Source organism: Homo sapiens, chromosome 6, assembly GCF_000001405.40.
Source record: "Homo sapiens chromosome 6, GRCh38.p14 Primary Assembly".
Taxonomy (NCBI): Eukaryota; Metazoa; Chordata; class Mammalia; order Primates; family Hominidae; genus Homo; species Homo sapiens.
Window position 1 is genome coordinate 89,190,911 of NC_000006.12, and position 20,586 is coordinate 89,211,496.

General features: G+C 44.9%; 1 protein-coding gene across 5 annotated transcripts in view; it reads right to left on the reverse strand.

Annotated features, from left to right (window-relative positions):
- Positions 1-20,586, reverse strand: part of GABRR1 (gamma-aminobutyric acid type A receptor subunit rho1) — a 53,785-nt gene that overhangs the window by 13,407 nt on the left and 19,792 nt on the right. For 2 of the 5 annotated variants that reach the window (NM_001267582.2, NM_001256704.1), the window contains 5 exons: positions 13,686-13,784; positions 12,525-12,578; positions 10,249-10,355; positions 8,452-8,519; positions 7,110-7,333 (listed from right to left, as the gene is read on the reverse strand). In NM_001267582.2, coding sequence (NP_001254511.1) covers positions 7,110-7,333; positions 8,452-8,519; positions 10,249-10,267 — 311 coding nt within the window. In that variant the 5' untranslated portion in view covers positions 10,268-10,355; positions 12,525-12,578; positions 13,686-13,784. The remainder of the gene's footprint in view (positions 1-7,109; positions 7,334-8,451; positions 8,520-10,248; positions 10,356-12,524; positions 12,579-13,685; positions 13,785-20,586) is intronic. The other 3 variants (XM_017010689.2, NM_002042.5, NM_001256703.1) reach the window with 3 other exon arrangements.

A 20,586-nucleotide genomic window follows, 5' to 3' on the forward strand; every position in this document is an offset into this window, starting at 1 on the left:
AAACACATACAGATCATTCTTCATAGTGAAAAGCCTCCTATCCAGTGGGGAATTTCACAGCAGGACACGATTAACATTTGTTCGCTCGTGCTGAATGGACTCCTTTTCCTTCAACCATGCAATATTTGCTACGCAAAAGTTGTGGAAATTATATGAATAATTCATGGTAAAAAAAGAAAAATCACTTTTAATTTAAATGGAAATTTCAAGGAAAAGAACATTCTTGAAATGGAATTTTTCAAATATTTGCCTCATTTTTTCCCACTGCTTTGAGGGTGGAATGGTTGCATTCTATCTATGAGGCATTTTTGATTGCCAGCAGCTGGGTGGTCTTATGTCTCCTGGAAATCCTGATAAACAGGGAATGTTAGAGTGCAGAGGTCGAGGTGGGGGTCAGGCTGGCAGCTGACTTGGATGCCTAATGGGTGGGTTTCCATTTCTATGGGTACATCATCGCATAACAATGCCCAATGGCATCATCAACATGAAATAAGCTAAGAACTAACTTCAGGGACACTTCGAGCTAACTTTAGAGACATAGAATGCCCAATGAAGGAAATGTTTTGCTACGAACAAGGGGACTGAATACTCCTCCTCATTCTGTTAGTTGGTATAGGAACAGCTGTTTTCAGAATTACAGACATCACCAGAATGGGTCTTCCCACCCTGAGTTGATGCTTCTCTCCATATAACTTACACATAAAGCAACCATTTGTGATGTAATCAAAGCTCATGTTTATTCTTGTTTCCACAAGTCTCTTTAAATTGATTCATTGGAGGGGCTCTTCCCTGCCCTGGATGGAAACTTGGCAGGTCCCGTGGCTCTTCTGCTCACTCTTATGTAATAGTCAAAACCCTCTTAAGTCACAAACCACACCTTAATTCAGAAATTAAGAGTTTTGGTCTGAGGTATTCATCAGCTTCAAAGTTCATTCAAATGAAGACTTCTGCTGTCCCTCCTCAGCTAAGATAAAAGTTGGCATTTGACGGGCGTAGTGGCATGCACCTGTAGTCCCAGCTACTCAGGAGGCTGAGGCAGGAGAACTGCTTGAACCTGGGAGGCGGAGGTTGCAGTGAGCCGAGATCGCATCACTGCACTCCGGCCTGGGCAACAGAGTGAGACTCCATCGAAAAAAAAAAAAAGAAAAATAAAGTTGGCATTTGAGTGGTCAGTTTCTGCCTATCTCCGATCTCTTCCCACACAGGTGGAAGCGCAAGGAGACAGGGAGGTGGGCGCAGGGCAGTTCTGTGGCTGGGCGGCTTCCTGCTTTCTGGGCCTGTTACCTGGTGGAAGCTGATACTTTCTTTCCTGGCTTCCTCACTCCCACGACTGGGCGCCTCCACACTGCAGGTTTCCATTCTCCAGCTCTTGGTTCACCCACCGTCCTCTCCACATACACTCACAGATAAGTACAGTCTGATCCCACTATGGCAAAAACTTCTGGCTCTGCCCCCAGAGTGGTCAGACAGCTCTTCTCTCCCACCTAACTGCACAGTGTCCCAAACTGCAGGCACACACACACCAAGCTTTTTGAGAGGTCCCAGTGAAGGCCCACTCACGGAATGCCCACAATGCTTTCCCGAAAAAATTTCACAAATCTTTCCTTTCTCCCGCTGTCATTGACTCCTCTTCTTCCTCTTCTTCTTCTTCTTCTTTTTTTTTTTTTTTTTTGAGACAGTCTCGCTCTGTCGCCCAGGCTGGAGTGCAGTGGTGCGATCTCAACTCTGCAACCTCCACCTCCCTGGTTCAAACGATTCTCCTGCCTCAGCCTCCTGAGTAGCTGGGACTACAGACATGTGCCACCATGCCCAGCTAATTTTTGTATTTTTAGTAGAGATGGCGTTTTGCCATATTGGCCAGGCTGGTCTTGAACTCCTAACTTCAGATGATCCACCGGATCAGCCTTCCAAAGGGCTGGGATTATAGGCCTGAGCCACCATGCCCGGCCTCATTGACTCTTTTATATCTTCAAGTTGACTAGGGATTCAAAAGTCATGGAATAGGTTTTTCAATATTACCTTAGTAAAATCTACCAAGCATAATAGAGTATCTCACTTGTGGATTTCAGTTTTTATTGTATGCTGGTGCCTAGGAAACTGTTCTCATCATCCTGTTATCTGTGGCTCCCTGCTCCTCCACCCACTGCACTGCTGCATTCCTCATTTGTGTCCTAAGCATTGGGTTCTGTGCCTGTCTCCTCCACTAGCCTGCAGTCCTAGGAAGGACAGTGACCTCTATTCCTGTCTTTATGTCCCCAGAGCTTGATCTAGAATCTGGCATGGCTTTCATTCGTACAACTCCACAGGCCACCGTGGCACCCAGGATGCTGTTAATAAGAATCTGTTGAAGTAATCAATGAATGAATGAAGTGAGGAGATGGTAAATTGGATGTATTTTAGGAGCTGGCCAGTGGCTGACAGAGTTGACATGTTTTCCTTAAAATAAATTCAAAGCGGTGGTCTTCAGAAACTTAGATCTCTCTTTTTTTTTCATTTAAATCAAACAAACTCATCACTTTATTTGCAATGAGAAATCAACTCATCTGCTTTTAGGCACAGGGAGGGAAAGGGGGTGTTTTCCTGGTGGTTGAGGCTCACTGAGGATTTTTATTCTGAACATACAAAAGATTTTCTACTCCCTTCCTGCACTCACATCCAGTGGTGCACTGGACTGGACTTCTACAGGCTTTCGGGAGCTGATTGCTAGATTTTCAGGAAGCTTGTGAGCCAGTTGTTAAACACAGTCACTATTAAGCATTAAAATTAAATGTCACATTAAAAAACATAAATAATAGCTTCCAGTTCCAAAATCGTGGCATAAAGGCAAGCTGCTTCACTCCACACCACAGAAAACCAAAAACAAACATATCACGCCAAGATTTTCAACAGCAACAACCCAGAGCTCATGGATGAGGATGAGACAGTTCCCTGGGCCACAGAGAAGTAGAAAAACTGAGATGCCAGTAGGAGAACTGGACTTACACATCCCCGATGCTCCTCTCTCCCATTCTATTTGCCACCAAATGCATGGAAAATCTCCCCCCAACTCATGACTTCTACACTGGAAAAAGTGAAATTGAGGTGATCAATCAGATTCCCTACCTTCTTAGGTTCCCTGTCAGGAGATTTGTCCTTACCTTAACCAACAGGAAGCATCATGATTGCCTGAAGGGAGAAATAGCCCTGAGAACAGGCTGAGACAAAGGGGAGGCAGGACAACCATCCCCATCCTGGAAACTATGCTCTGTAACTTGACCAAAGGAGATGCCAAATCAGAGTGGCTGTTCAGTAGCACTGTAGGAAGAATATTCTGTAGGTCCCCTGGGCACGAACCCCTAGCCAGCCTTCCCACACTGCCGGGATAATCCCTTCAGGACCTCCCCCATTCGGGACTGGCGGTGCAGAGACAGACTGGTTACTGGAGCGAGGCGAACCTGGGTTTAAGGTGCCACCTGGAGCTGAAAAGGAGGCAGCAACCTAGCGACAGATTCACTAAGCAAATATAGTCAATAAAAAACAAAACTAGACAGAGAAAACTGGAATAAAAAACTAATCCTTCAATGCAAAGACATAGATGTATACCAACAAGAAACAACAGCAAACAGGGAATTAGGACCTCCCCAAAAGGGGATCCTAACAAGACCATGATTTGTAATCTCTCTGACCAAGAATCCAAAATAGCAATTTTAAGGAAGTGCAGTGATATCCAAAAAATAATACAAAAAAGCAATTCAGAAATTTATCAGAGAAATTTAACAAAGAGACTGAAATAACAACAACAACAAAAATCAAACAGAAATCCTGGAACTGAGAAATACATTTGCCGAACTGAAGAACTCTTTAGAGGCTCTCAACAGCAGGATGACCCAAGCAGAAGAAAGAATCTGTGAGCTAGAAGACTGGCTATTTGAAAATATAGTCAGAGGAGAAAAAATGAAGAAAGAATAAAAGGGAACAAAGGCTGCTTATAAGATATGGAAAATTACCTCAAAGGACCAAATCTAAGAATTATTGGTGTTCAAGACAGAGCTGAGCAACAGCAAGGGGTGGAAAGCTTAGTCAAAGGAATAATAACAGGAAACTTTCCAAAACTCAAGAAGGAGATAAATATACAGGTATAGGAAGGTCTGAGGACACCAAACAGAATCAATGCAAATAAGACTATCTCCAGGCATATAGTAATCCATCTGAAAGGTCAAGAACAAAGAGAGGATCCCAAAAGCAGCAAGATAAATAAGACAAGTAACACATTAAAAAGCTCCAATTTGGGCCGGGCATGGTGGCTCACGTCTGTAATCCTAGCACTTTAGGAGGCTGAGGCAGGCAGATTGCCTGAACTCAGGAGTTTGAGACCAGCCTGGGCAACACGGTGAAACCTCATTTCTACTAAAATACAAAAAAAATTAGCCAGGCATGGTGGCATGTGCCTGTAGTCCCAGCTACTTGACAGGCTGAGGCAGGAGAATTGCTTGAACCCGAGAGGTGGAGGTTGCAGTGAGCCAAGATCACGCCACTGCACTCCAGCCTGGGCAGCAGAGTAAGACTCCGTCTCCAAAAAAAAAAAAGCTCCAATTTGTCTGGCAACAGACTTCCCAATGGAAACCATGCCGACCAGGAGGAAGTAGAAGAATATTTTCAAAGTGCTCAAAGAAAAAAACTGTCATCCAAGAATATTATATCCAGCAAAATTATTTTGAATATAAAGGAGAGATAGTCTTTTCCAGATAGACAAAAGCTGAGATAATTCACTATCACCAGACTTATCTTGTAAAAACAAAAGTAAAAAATACTCATCAATTCCTAAGTATTTCACCACATTTTATTATGTATATTCTTGAAGCCATTTACACTTATTGCATCTGTATGGTGGAAACACTGCATAATGGTGTGCTGCCATGAATTTCTTCCTAATTCTGCATTTAGTGACATCAGGTGGGAGCTTGAAATCAGCCACGATGGGAGTATTTATACTACAGAAATCAGCAAACACTACAAATCAGGGCTTGATTTATTGTTTTGTTGATTGTCTAGACTTAAGGCAGATTAAGCCTAAAAGGGTGTTATGCCTATTATCATTACATTGTGAGTAGTACAAAATATTGAGGACATATTTCAGTATTTGAAAGCTATCATCCAATTCAGCAAAGAAGTTGCTTATGTCTTTGATGAATGAGTAAAGTTTCTATATAGTTTTTCATTGTTTCACTTTTGTCTTACTAATGGAAAAGAAAATATCAACCAACATTCATCAGATCTATATTCATTTGTTGATGATAGAATTATAAAAACTTATAGTGGTTTTTCCAAGAACTAGGAAATCATGCTCAAGTTATAAATATATGGAATTTATAATAAAGAGCATTATACGTCCTTTATGTCAGTGATGTTTACAACAAACTTATATACACATAGGTATGCATACTTTCCCCCCAGGTAACCAATTGTTAAACATTTACTAGCATACCAATGGTCACATATGTTATGGTCTAGTACTCTGTAGCCTTGGTGGTGCCATTGAGTTGTGTTGTTGTGTTGGTAGTTTTTGAGCCTTAAGATGCCTTGAAAACCGGTCTCAGTGGGCCAGGTGTGGTGGCTCACACCTGTAATCCCAGCACTTTGGGATGCCAAGGTGGGAGGATGGCTTGAGCCCAGGAGTTCAAGACTAGCCTGAGCAACATAGGGACATTCTGTCTTTACAAAAATAATTTTTTAAAAAATTAGCTGGGCATAGTGACACATGCCTTTGGTCCCAGCCACTTGGGAGGCTGAGGTCAGATTACTGCTTGGGCCTGGGAGGTTGAGGCTGCAGTAAGCCACGATCACGCCAGTGCACTCCAGCCTGGGCAATAGAGCAAAACTCTGTAAATAAAAAAAGAAAAGAAGGAAAGAAAAGAAGAAAGAAAGAAAAGAAGGAAAGAAAGAAAGAAAGAAAGAAAGAAAGAAAGAAAGAAAGAAAGAAAGAAAGAAAGAGAAGAGAAGAAAAAAGAAAAGAAAATAAAAAATCTGCCTCAGAAATGAAGACTTCAGGGAGAACCAGCTCAACATGGCTTGGGGAAGGGGTTGCACATCCTGGACCCGCCTGAGTACTTCTTACGGGAGGAAGCATTTTAAGCATTAAAGATGAAAACCCCATAACCCCACTCTGTGTTAGGTACCTAATTACTTAGGTTCCAGGCCAGAATGAGTATGGAGGGATCATCATAAATATTCCTTTGGGGAATGGGGACAGAAAGTCAGCTTCAACATTGCAATCTCTGACTCCATAGGTTTATAAGTCTACTGTGCAAGCATCCATGAACCCTCTACTTATACACTGATGTGTGGATTCATCTTTACCATTCATCAGCACGGAAGCCAAAGCAAAGTCTGTGAAACTGGAATGCACCGTCCACAAAGCACAAGAGGAGCAGACCACAGCAAGTGACCACATCCCTTCTCTGTGAAGGCCTGCTGCTCATCTCCATGTGCCTTGAGTACCATGAGTTTCTAAAGTTCCTGTGCAGCCTGAAAACCACACTGTGGAGCTGTGTTTAAGGAAAGCTTCCCCAGGCCAGCGCTTCATGAGCAATTAAACGTTTTTAAAGTGTCTGAACTGGTGAGAAGATTTTATTCATTATATTTAAAAAGTGATGTTCAGAATGGCACGTCAAGTCATAAAGTAGCCGGGGGTCCCCATAGTTTCTCAAGTAGGACACTACGGAGAGAAAGGAGAGAAAACATGCCTGTGGTGGCCAGATGAAGCAGAAGAACTTTTTTTTAACCAAAGTTCTAAAATGTTCCCAAAAATGGGAATCAGAGAGATTGTAAGAAGTAAGTCCTTGAGAACACATTATCTATTTCTCTGACTCCTACTAGAGAAATAAACTTGTTTGTTATTGAAATATAACACATAGAATAGTATCAGTTTGAGAAATTGCCCCAAAGGTATTTTCAAGACTGAATAATTCTTTAAAATTTCTACTCATGTATAAAGTTAGTTTTCCTTGATGTTGAGAAGCTGGCAACTACTGAAAAGTTAGAAAGTAGACATTCAGAGCCAAAAACCCAAATTGCTGTTGTGAAACCAATGCTTTTCTTGGTTAATATGAATGATCTGCCTTTCTTCCTACCTGAGACTATAGAGCACTTTCCCATCAGGCTGGACCCGCAACATGACGTTGTCTGTGGTGGTGTCGTGGATGAAGGAGCGTTTGGAGTGCACGAAAAACATGTCAGGGACCCAGATCTTCTTGACCAGCCGGCCGTCAAACGTCATGCTGAGGTTGTTGGTGCTTGGAAAAGACAGCCTCTCGTCCTTCCAGTAGTGCCTCAGGTAGAGGGTCATCGTAAAGTCCTGGGAGCAGAAGGGCAGAGAGGGAACCCCAGACACACACAAACCCACTGAGATGTGGATTCTGTAGCCCCTGTGGAGCCATCACTTGGCTGGGGAATGAAACCGAACCAAGAGAGGTTTTGCTTCTAGTCTCCAGAGTTTGCTGCAGTAGGAGGAAGAGAACGCTGCAGGGGGCGGGGGGCGGGGCACAGCGTGGAACTCAGAGAGAAGCCTGGAGCAGACAGTGTAAGTGTGCCTGGCCCTGCTTCAAGCCCCTGGCATTCACTCTACACTTGAGGGGCTGCTACTGCCACCATGTGTGACTCAAGCCACAGATGCCAGAAAGTTCATACCTGCAAACAGCACTCAATCAGAGAGAAGGCGGTGGATACATACCCCAGAGCCTGCACCCCTGAGTCAGAATAACCCTGAAGTGTGTTCTTCAGTGACTCCCAGAGTACTCCAGTGGCACTGAGTTCTGTGGTTCTATAACTGAGTTCCATACCAGTTCCACAGTAACTGGTTTGATAGCACAGCCCTCTTTGCTTCCTTCTCTTCCTCTCTCCCTTCCCCACTCTGTTCTGGTGTTTCCCAGGATCACTTCCCAAATAAAGTGCTTATACTTATGCTTGTGACTGCTTGTCTCAGGTCTGCTTTTTGGTGGACCCAAACTAAGGTAGGTCCCTAAAATATCCTGTAAGTCAAGGAGTTGGAGAATGTTGCACTTTTTATCTGAACCGACCAAAAAGGGGGCGGGCGGGGGGAAAGGACACTCTTTTGCTTCTTTTGCATTTCGACAGCCAGGTACAGAATCCACAGGAATAAGATGTGTTTGACTACTTAGCAGCTGCAAACTTGGGCCCTGCTGCTTACATTTGAGAGCTTTTGTCCAGAAAATGCATCCCAGTGGCAAGAGCCTGGCCACTGGAGTGAGAAAGGTTAAGCTTGTTATCTGGCTCTGTTTCATACCAATTGGGTGGCTTTGGGCAAATCTTCCTGAGCCATCTGAAAAAGTAGTGTGGGGATTCCCACCGCCCAGGGCAGTTGTGAGACTAAGTGAATTCAGGTGCGTGGAGCTCCTGGCCCTGGACCGGCTTTGTGAATCCCCCTGCCACGGCCCTGGTCAGAGAAGCACTTACCATGTCAACCTCTGAGATGCTATCCAAACTCTCCACCTGCACATCCACACCAACAGGAATGGCAGGGCCTGGGGACAGAGCATGGCAAGAGCATTCACTGTTTTTACTTGAAATTTTACTATGGAGGAAATAGGCAAAAGGAGCATTTCCCCTGGAACCTCAATGTCATATCAGATTTGGAGGTTTGGTCATGGCAACCTGAAGTCAAACCAGAGATAAAAGCATGGAATCATAGGCTGGCTTTCTGAAATATTCCAACAGAAGTTTGAAAACATCCTTTCTTGGTTATATATGCTCATCTGAAGGTATGATGAAGACCTAGGTCAAAAGCTGGGTCTGATCTAAGAGTAACTGACGTCTTAGCATGAGGTCACCCACATTATTCTCTATATTTGCCTTCTGGTGTTGCACCCTCTTTCATCCTGGAAGCCACTGTCTCTTGTCTGGACATGAGAAAGGCGTTGTTTGGTAATAGGAACTCAGAACCAAAGTCATATTCAGGTCATTTGCCAAACCCACAGATCTGCATCTTTGCAACATGATGGAGTAGCTTCCAGGGAAGACAGGATGCCTGTTTTAAGGATGGCCTTAAAACATTAGATTTTTTGTTATTTCTGGGCCATACGGACTAAATATTGATAAAGAGTAAGGAAGTATAATGAAGGGAATCAATTCCTGCCCCCCTTCTTCCCTGCTCTGATGCTCTGAGGATGAAGGGCAGGCATGGAGCACACTGAATCATTTGGAGTAAAAAGGTGGGTTTGGATTCAACAATGGTGGATTGGGGACTGCATAGAGACTCTCTTCTACAGCCTATTTATTCTTTGGGTAAAAGTGACTGGAAGAAAAATAAATGGCAAGATAATTATTTCTTTTTCCCTTTTTTTTTTTTTTTTTTTTTTTTGGAGACAGAGTCTCACTCTGTTGCCCAGGCTGGAGTACAGTGGTGTGATCTCAGTTCACTGCAACCTCCGCCTCCTGGGGTCAAGCAATTCTCCTGCCTCAGCCTCCTGAATAGCTGGGACTACAGGTGCACACCACCACAGCTGGCTAAATTTTGTATTTTTAGTAGAGACAGAGTTTTACCATGTTACCCAGGCTGGTCTCGAACTCCTGAGCTCAGGCAATCTGCCCACCTCAGCCATGGCAGATGAAATCCCAAAATGTTAGGATTTCAGGTATGAGCCACCATGCCCGGCCGAGAATGATTTTTAAAATGAGTATTTTTTTTTCCAGGAAAATAAACCCATAAGGGTGAAAAATTATTGACATTAAGAAGGCTGAAACCCAGTAGCTGCAGGCTAAGCTTCATAGGGCTTTGCTATTCTTCTGCACTAAATCATTATTCTCTCAAGCTATTTTCATTTAATTAAAATGAGCAGACCACATTCCACCGTAAGATACATACCCTGAACTCTGTCTGCCAGCTCCCAGATGACAACAAATTTAGTCCAAGGTTGTTATTTCCAAGTATTTTTAGGAGGCCGCATTGGGCTGCAGCTGCCCTGTGTTCTCCTGCCCTTCCTACAGCCAGCTGTTGGCCTCCCTCATCGTGAGCCATCCTAGAGGGGCAGCAGCCACCCAGCAGCAGATGCTTCCTGAGACTGTTCAGCAGAACCCAGGGCGGGGCAAGACAGATGCTCAAAATGTACTGTGGGCTCGATGTCTTGTCCACCAAGCACAACTGAGGCAGACCGGGTCAGCGGAGAGCAAAGCTGTGCTGTCCCTTGGCTAATTTCCTGCCCACAGACAGAGGACCAGAAGAAAGAGGACACCCTGAGAGCACACATCCCATACCTCCAAAGCCAGGCCTCATGCTGAAATCATGGTCATCTATCCTCAGAAGCTGTTCTGACTTTGTCAGAGGCGATTTGGTGATGTCAGGACTTCGTCTCAGAATTGGGCTGCCAAGGGGGAAGAAACCAGGCTGATCATATATTCCAACCAAGACAAATAAACAGTAACTTGCATTCTGACTTGATCTTGATAGGTGTGATGGGGTGTGCTATTTCTTCTTTTAAGCTATTGGACATCCCCTCTTTCTTTCTCCATCTTTCTGGATAAATGAACTAACCCAGAAGGTCCAAGACATTGGCTTTGACCATGACTGTGGAGCTTTAAAAATACTGATGCCTGGGCCGGGTGCGGTGGCTCACGCCTGCAATCCCAGAACTTTGGGAGTCCGAGGCGGGTGGATCACGAGGTCAGGAGATCGAGACCATCCTGGCTAACACGGTGAAACCCCATCTCTACAAAAAATACAAAAACTTAGCTGGGCGTGGTGGCAGGCGCCTGTGGTCCCAGCTACTCGGGAGGCTGAGGCAGGAGAATGGTGTGAACCCAGGAGGCAGAGCTTGCAGTGAGCCGAGATTGCACCACTGCACTCCAGCCTGGGCAACAGAGTGAGACCCCGTCTCAAAAAAAAAAAAAAAAATACCGATGCCCAGGCCCCACCTCCGAGATGCTGATTTGGACTGTCTGGGAATAGGGCCTGGTATTTTTAAAGCTTCCCAGATGATTTTAATGTGTAACCAAGACTGAAAAATAGCTGGTTCTAGTCTTGTTATTAATAGCCCAAATTCCCTTAAAGTGCCTCAGCCTTTTGAGGGGTTTTGAGCTGGAGGGGAGAGCCAGTGAGTACGGTCTGAGCCTGGTCCCCTGATCTCTGTTGGCCCACTGTGGAGGGAGCGGGACCTTGCCCTCAAGGGAAATGCTGACCATCCTGTTTGCATGGAAGGTGGCTACTCCTGCTACTGCTTCTGAACCACACCTGGGGTCATTTGTATTTATTTTCTCTTTTTCTCGATTGGTAACATACTTTTAGCAGTTGACAATTTTTTAAAAGAAGAAATGTAGTGAAGACTCAGCCTCCCACTTCTGCCTCCACCCGCTCCTAGCCCTCATCCACAGGTGTTTCGTTTTTTTGTTTGTTTGTTTGTTTGTTTGTTTTGAGACAGTCTCACTGTGTCACCCAGGCTGGAGTGCAGTGGTGTGATCTCGGCTCACTGCAACCTCCACCTCCCAGGTTCAAGTGATTCTCATGCCTCAGCCTCCCAAGTAGTTGGGATTACAGGCGCCTGCCACCACGCCTGGCTAAGTTTTATATTTTTAGTAGAGACAGGGGATTTGCCATGTTGGCCAGGTTAGTCTCAAACTCCTGGCCTCAAGTGATCCACCCACCTCAGCCTCCCAAAGTGCTGGAATTAAAGATGTGAGCCACCACACCTGGCCAGGTGTTGCTCTTACTGGTTTCTTGTCTATCTGACCAGAGTTTCTTGTATACAAGTATATACAGACATATATTCTTAGTTATCCCCTCTTTATTTTATATTTTTTATTTATTTATTTATTTTTAGAGACAGGGTCTTGCTCTGTCATCCAAGCTGGATTCAGTGACCTATCATGAGCTCACTTCAGCCTCAAACTCCAGGGCTCGAGTGATCCTGGATTCAAGTGATCCTCCCATCTCAACCTCCCAAGTAGCTGGGACTACAGGTACATGCAACTGAGTCCAGTTAATTTTTAAATTTTCTGTAGAGATGGGGGTTCTACTATGTTGCCCAGGCTGGCCTCAAACCCCTGGCCTGCAAGCAACTCCCACCTAGGCCTCCCAAAGTGCTGGTATTACAGGCGTGAGCCACCGCACCCAACCTGGAAGTACTTCTCAAACTAGAAAGTGCTACACAAATGGGAGGAGCCATTGCCATTTCTGAACCCACCAGGAAGTGTCCTTCTAAAGTGAGGAATTACCGTGCTGGCAGCAAAGGAGGTGGCCCAGGGAAAGAATTGGAACCAGTGAGCTGCTTACAGATATAAGGGAGGAAGCCGGGCTTGTCAAGAGGAGGAACACCAGCTCCCATTGCCGCGGACATCCTCTCTCACCAGCTCGATCCAGGAGCCACCCCGCCACCCCTGACTGCCGTCTCCTTTCAGGCTCCCCTTCCTCTGGTCCCCCACCCTCCACTTTCTGATCCTTGGTGAGGGGTCGGGGAGGGGCCCTGCTGAAAATCACTACAGTTGAGGTTCACGGAGGAAACATCTGCAGAACAGTGTGCACGTGCTTATGGCCATACCTGACTTGCTTGTGGGCATCTTCATGTACTTCTCGTCTTTGTCTTTGGGGCCTACCATGAACATTAAAAATAAAGACATTGTAGAGAAAGTCTAGGTACTCAGATCAACCAAGCACCCCTCTCCCTCCAGATTTGCTTCAAATCTATCCAGAATAAAATGTAAAAGAAGAAGAAAAAACTACGAAGATTCAATGCATTCATTTAGCCTCTTGTTGAGCATTTTCCAAGTACCTACAGTAGAAACTGGAGGGTTCATTACTAAGAAGGCCTAATTTGAAGAGGTCTGAGCTAAAATATCTCCCCCACTGGTCTACCCGGGCGTGAAATGGACGCCATTCTTTTAGAAGGCTCTTAAGGATGTGTACACTTTAACTTTGATCCACCATAAAACCCTCATTACGGAGAGTAACACACTGCCAGGTGAACTGCATCACTTGAGCATCCTCGTTCTTTGGCTCATGATTTCAGCCAAATGGGCACCGACAGGAGATGAGAGAGGAGGAGGAGGAAGAAAGAGGTCAGGGTATTTACTCCTCATTCTCTCCCGGCTTTGATGCCAGGACTAGCAATGCCTGTGTTACTCTGTGATTGCTGATAATCACAGTATCTTCAATAAGCTCCAATAATAGTTAATATTTCCCCTTCTAGTCGAGGGGTAGTCCTGGCTTCCTCCTATTCCTAGTCCTTGGGGGCATCAACGTGCCTGACTGGATCACTGAACTCTGCCCACATCTCTTCGAATTGTCCTTTTATTCGATCATCATGAGTTAAGCCCTTTTGAAGGCAATGCTGTTTTCTGCCAGGACTCGACTGATGCACAGGGACACATCAGAACAGATGCACAAGGATTATGTCATCTGTAGAAAATGGAGCAGAGACAGGTGTGCGCTCTGCAGGCGTGGGCAGAGCTAAGACTGGGGAGTGGCATGCGCTTCAGGCGATGGGCCATCACAGTTGATGGGCAGCGTGAGGCCGAAGGACACCGGGGACAAAGTTCTCTTTGCATTCAGTCCCTTGCACAGTGTTGGATCCCTGTGGACCCTCAATACCTATTAGTTGAATGAAGGAAGGAATCAGCCCCCTACATGGGCACCTAAAAAGGGAGACAGGAGGGAATGAAAGAGGAGATTGGAATGGAAAAAAGCTTGGCCCAGCTCTTACTTTGACTTTGGGCCAGCCTGAAATGGAACCAGTCACTGATGAAAGGAGGTTTGTCAAATTCTGAGATGCCACTGCCTTTGCCTTCATGAAGCCTCGATTCTAGCCAAGAGAAGACGGATGAATAAAATACAGTTATAGTCTTTTTCATTATTAATATTATTAGATAACTTTTTTTCCTGTTTACATGCCCATGTAAAAAAATTTAGAAAATAGATTAATCATAAAGGAGAAGATGAATATAACTCAGAAGGAACCTCTGCCATTCTGCATCTGTATTTTCTTATGATTCTTGGAGAATTATACTGTTTGAAACTTTCTTTTAAACTCAAATTATAATATATCATGGAATTTTTTTGCGTCATTGGCATCTTTTCACCATCTGAGGGTATGGTTATTAATCTTGAAATGATGTATCACACAAAACAAATAATAGGAAAATCTAACACTGCTTGAGCACTTCCTATGTGTGAGTTACCATGCTAACTCCTGTTGCATGTGTTAACTCAGGTTATTCCTCAAAACAACCCTATGAAGTAGGCCTCGTCATTATCCCCATTTTATATGTAGGAAACTGAGATACAAAGACTTTAAATAACTTGTAAAAGTGAAGGAGCCAGAAGTCAGAGCCAGGGGTTCTGGCTCCAGGGTTGGAAGCAAGGCTGGCCACAGCATCACGTTGGAAGATTTGCCTCCCACTGCCAGGAAATTGGCTTAGATGTGGAAGGTCTGAGCTTATCGTCTCCTCATATAGAAGTTAACATAGACCTTGCACAAAGTTGGTGCATGATAAATATTTACTGAATGAGCCCCAGGAGGTTATGAAGAAAGGATAGGCATGTACCATGTTAAGATGATGCAGGATGACATGAGACAGCTTTTTGAACTGAACATAGGGTGTACATTTGTTGAACACCCACTTTTATTTTGGATCAAATGACAAATTCCAACCTACAAGACTTCTTCTTGATGTCTGCTTGTTCTAGTTCTTAGTCTGTGCATGGATGTTTTCCCAAAAGAGGTGTCAGAACTTTCTTGGAGGTGAGCTGGAGCACGGATGGGGGTTTGTGATGAGGGAGGTCTGCTGGAAGGCTCATTCAGCTAATGGCCGAGCATCTGATAAGTTACACTTCACCTTGCTGACTATTTCATCTGAGAAGACAGAGAACTTAATTTTTACAAGGAAGCAGAAACCGGCTAATGAAAATGATCATGCTTTCTCGGCATTTCTAACAGCCAAGAAAAGAAGTCCTTGTATGTAGTGCAAAACACCCAGATGTTGTCCTTGGCACCTCCACCCCCCGCCCCCCCATCTCTCACATCCTCTTCCAGGGACACTGAGAACACTGGCTCTAGCTCCACTTCTCAGACATGTACTGCTCATAGGGCTACATTTTTCTGATGTGCATAAAGGCCACGAAAGGCCAACTGGGGCCCTGCCCACAGCAGTCAGGCAGCCAGTCCTGGCTGACCTCCTTCTCAACACCCCATGCCCCACCCCTGCTGTCTCGCCCTCTCCATCCCCACGCCCCCTGCCTCAGGTGTCATTACTTAGCATATGGGAGGCAGCAGGCTTTCCTGCCTCTGGTCTTATCCTTCTCTAATCCAACCACCCCACCAACACCATGGAATGAAAATCACAATTATGTCACTTCTCTTAAAACCCTTCATCCTCAAAGTAAAATCCGTGGAAGTTGGGCATATAAGGCCCATAATAAGGCTCCCACTCACTTTTCCACTCAGCTCCCACTCTGCCCCCAACTTCTTGCCGTTGTCAATTACATCTCTGTGCTTTGCTCCCGATGTCCCAACTGTCTGGAATGCCCTTCCCATCATTCTTCATACCCTTTGTTACCCAGACAACTCCACGCATTCCCAGATAAAATGCCACCTCCTCCTGAAAGCATTCTTGAGCTTCTCTCCTTTACATGCTTCCATCAGAATGTGCACACCGTGCTATTGTGGTGATAGGCCTTCTGACCATCCCACTCACTTCACCGTGGGATCAATAGATGAGAGACTGTACTTTTTTTTTTTTTTGAAACAAGATCTCTCTCTGTTGCCCAAGGCTGGAGTGCAGTGGTGCAATTATAGCTCACTGCAGCCTCAACCTCCTAGGCTAAAGCAATTCTCCTGCCTCAGCCTCCCAAGTAGCTGGGACCACAGTTGTGTGACACCATGCCCAGCTAATTTAAAAAAAAAAATTGTAGTGAAGGGGTTTCACTATGTTGCCCAAGCTGGTCTCCAAATCCTAGGTTCAAGGGATCCTCCCGCTTCAAACTCACACAGTGTTGGGATTATATTTGTGAGCCACCATGCCCGGCCTCTACGTTACACATCTCTGTAAAACCTTAGCAGTGTGCAGAATTGACTTTACAAAGACAGGTACCAAATATGGAAGGAGAAGCACAAACCCAAGGGTGTATTGCACAGAATTGAAGGGATCCATAAGAAATGAGTCAAGGGAGGCCAGAGTCTAAATTAGACTCAAGAGACATGGTAAAGACAAGCAGAATTCTTTCCAGTTGCATCCTGAGCTAGGAGAGTCAGTAGAAGGAAATATACCACTTGGAGAAGATGAAGCAAGATTAAATTTTTTTTTAATGTTAATTTTTTTTTGAAGACAGGGTCTCACTCTGTTGTCCAGGCTACAATGCAGTGGCACAATCTCAGCTCACTGCAGCCTTGACCTCCTGAACTCAAGCTATCCTCCCACCTCAGCTTCCTGAGTAGCTGGGATTACAGGCATGTGCCACCATGCCAAGCTAAGTTTTGTATTTTTTGTGGAGTTGGGGTTTTGCCATGTTGCCCAGGCTGGTCTTGAACCCCTGAGCTCAAGCGATCTGCCCGCCTCGGCCTCCCAAAATGCTGGGATTACAAGTGTGAGCCACCACACCTGGCAGAGGTGAGGCAATGTTAATAAACAATTATGATAAGGCTGAGATTCTGCTAACAGAATCCAATTTTACTTTGCTATTCTTCATCAAAGAGAGTGGTCTTCAAATTAGGAAGAGAGAAAAGAATTATTTGCTACCAGAATAGTGGACATGTAGCACACAACCATCTAATGCTCAGCCCTGATTACACATTGGAATCACCCGAGGAGCTTAAAAAATCCCAGGCCACAGAGCAGACCAATTAAATCAGAACCTCTAAGGGTGGGACCCAGCCAGCAATAGTTTTCAAATCTCAGGTGATTCCAATGTTCAGCCAAAGTTGTGATTTCTAATTTTTAAAAATGGAGCTCTTTTTCACAGCTCTCTGAGGCCATGACCTGGTACAGTAGGAGGAAGCAGGCAGTTAGGAAGCCAGCACACTGCCTTGAACCCGTTTTGCTTACTGGTGGGAGATGGCAAGTTGCTTCTCTCCAGGTCTGTTTCCTCAGCTGTGAAATAAGGGATTAGGCAATGAGATGGCTTCGAAACCTTTCAAGTCCATTCCAGAAGGCGGCAGCCTCCCTGAGATGTGAGAGGCGCTTCGCTGCTCTAGTCCTGTTGGCTGAAGGCGATGCTACAAGGGTAGGTTCCCTGCCAGAGCTGCACCAATAGGGGTGTGGGTTCCACACAGACCCACTAGCACTGGGTGTGTGCGTGTGTTTAACTTTCATTAATTTAATGAGCATGTATCCATCATGTTATTTATATTGCATTTCCTGAATTGTTACAGAGGCTGTGCATTCTTCCACATAATGAGTTGAGCATTTTGTATTTTTCCTTGGCTGTAAATATTAAATAGTTCATTTCCTTTGATTCCTTCCTAAGTGGATTTTTGGTAACTAATACTGTGCTTTTCAAATTATGTTCTCTAAAATGTGTGATGGTTAATTCTATGGGTCAACTTGCTTAGACCATGGTACTTGTTCTGGTCAAACATCAGTCTAAATGTTACTGTGACGATATTTTTAAAAAATGTGGTTAACATTTAGATCAGCGGACTTTAAGTAAAGCAGATACCCTCCATCATGTGGGGAGCCCCCATCCAGTCAGTTGTGGGCCTTCAGAGAAAAGACTAAGGTTTCTCGAAGAAGAAGAAGGAATTTGCTTCCAGACTGCCTTCCTACTCAAGATGGCAACACGCCAGCTTCTGCCAGAACTTCCAGCCTGCTGGTCTGCCCTGCAGATCTCAGACTTGGCAGCCCCCACAAATGTGTGATCCAGACAGAGAAAGGCATAAGGATGTGGATGTGGACAGCCTACTGGTTCTCTTCCTCTGGAGACCCCTGACTGATACAGTGCGAACACTCCTTGACCCCTGAGGCCTGCACATCTGAGGGAGATCTGAGCTGTTGCCTGCAGCCAAAGGGCTGCCAGGGCTGTCTAGGATGGGCGTACCAGCCCAGCTTTGACCTATCAGCTTCTGTCAGGTCTCAGGGTATTTGATCAAGCTGTCTTCTTGCCACCATTACTGACTTCTGTTCCCACCAACTTGGTGGGCCCCTAACACACAGACAGCCCTGGCCTGCTACTGCCTTGCCACAGAGTAAAAAGAACACATCAAGAATATGTTTGTCTAACTGCTTCTTAGATAAAATCTCAGCCTATCATCCAAGTTGCGGGCTTAAAAAAAAATCTCAGCCTAGATCATCCCTTTTTTTTCCTTGTACATATATGTCTGAATTCCTATGCCTGGGAATACCATATGCCTCCCACTTGAAGACACCGGGTTACTTTATTTTTTTTAATTTAAAGCTCTGAATTTTGTCTACCTGTTCTCTTTATTAGAATTCTCAGATTGTATTATTCCCATTTCTTATAGAACGTACTACTTTCTAACTTGTAGATATCTATTTGACCCTAATGCCAACATTTTAGACTCTTGTTAAATGCCTTTTGAGTGAAATCCCCATAGCCAATTAAATGTCTCAGCTGCCTAAAAACAAAAACAAAACAAACAAACAAAAACAGGTGTTTGTCAAGGGGACAGCCTGCAATGCATTTCAGAATGTGAAATTGCGGACGGAACATCTCTACCTCGCTTCACCTCCTGCCCTCTCGCCTGGGGAGTGGAGCAGAGACCAGGCCTTCAACAGGGGTGAGTCAAGACTCACGAGGTCTTCTCAATGCTATCACCGCAATCCCAAGAGCCACCACTGCTTGTCTGAGGTTAGATTTATTTGATGAGGCAGCTTACAGTATTGGAAGGAGTGCAGACTTGGCATCAGTCAGACTTCAGTGTGAATCCCAGGGGAGCCACAAACTAGCTGTTAACCTTGGGCAGGTTACCTGATCTTTCTGTGTCTCAGTTTCCTATAAGATGGGGGGAATAATACTAACTTTACTGGCGTGCTGTAAGAATTAAGCAAGAAAATGTTAATTTGAACCACAGGAAATGGCTGACATTCAACTGTTTGTGACGTACAAAAACATTTTCACCTGGTTCAACCTGAGTTTTATGTCCATCAATATAACTTTCTTTTGTTTTCTGATGGCGAGAGGAAAGCACCAGAAGTGGAAACATGGGGTCTGTGGGAGCTCTGTGGATATGTTATGTGACCATGGCACAAGTTTGTGTACCCTTTTGGGCCTTGCTCTTTTCACCTTTAAAGTGAGGGGGTTTCTAAGGTCCTTGAAGGTCTGACATTCTGCAGCAATTTTTTTTTTTTTTTTTTTTTTTTTTTTTGGAGATAGTTCTTACTCTGTCACCCAGGCTGGAATGCAGCGTTGCAATCTCAGCTCACTGCAGCCTCGACCTCCCAGGCTCAAGTGATCCTCCCACCTCAGCCTCCCGAGTAGCTAGGACCACAGGTGTGTGCCACCACACCTGGCTAATTTTGCTTGTTTTTGTAGAAATGGGGTTTCACTATGTTGCCTAGGCTGGTCTCTAACTCCTGGGATTAAGCAATCCTCCTGCCTTGGCTTCTCAAAGTGCTAGGATTACAGGTGTGAGCCATCATGCCCAGTCTTCTGCAAAATTTTTAATTTTTGCATTCTACAAAAGTGGTCTGATTAAGGTCTGTCTCCCCCACTAGACTGTCAGCACTTCAAGGGGAGGAGCAGGTCTATTTTGCTTACCATTGCCTCCCAAGCCATGGGCACAGTGCCTGGAGTATAGTGCCCTCAATACATATTTGTTGAATGAATGAATGAAGTACAGGAAATAGCAAGAGTCAGGATTCACTCATTTATTCATGCCCAACACTTCATGAACATTCACCATTGTTCTTGATTGTGGGGAAACAAGGATAAATGCGCCCTCAAGGGACTCATAGTCTAGAAGCAGAGAAAAATGAGATAAAAAAGGCAATGCTGAGTGATTAGTCCTTGGAGAGAAGGGTGGTGGAGAGCTGCAGAAGCTCAGAAGTAAGCCACCTAATTGAGACTTGAGAGGCAGGGGGTGAGGGAAGGCCAAGGAAGGCTTCTCAGAGGAGGTGACACCTCTGCTAAATATTGGAGGAAGAAAAAAAATGGGTCAGAGAAATAAGAAAGAGAATGGTGTTGTGAGCATGGGAGCAGCAGGTGCAGAGGCCTTAGGAGACTGCAAGGAGCAGGGGCAGGTCGTAATCAGCAGGGAGACAAAAGACCAGGAAGCACAAAGTGGGGACTCGAACGTTCAAGCAAACTTTCTGGGGAGCAGAGGGACAAGATGAAGAGAGCACTACTAACTTAAGAGAAAATCAAATTTCAAGGCGTTGAGGGTGATCAGAGATCCAGTCCATAATCCCACAGCTTTCTCTTTGTCATGCAAGACAGGGATTTGACAGCAACTCCTCATGCCACATTGTTGCCGCCCCTGGCCTCTCTTCATCCTTTGAACCCTCCAAAGTCCCTCCTACCCTAAAACTCTCCTGTCTTCCTCTCTCGCCTTCATCCCATCTCAGTCTTTCAGTTCACACCAAGTTTCTTGTAAATACTGTCTATATTCACTCCATTTTCTCTTCTACTCTCCTCAACCCTCTGACATCTGT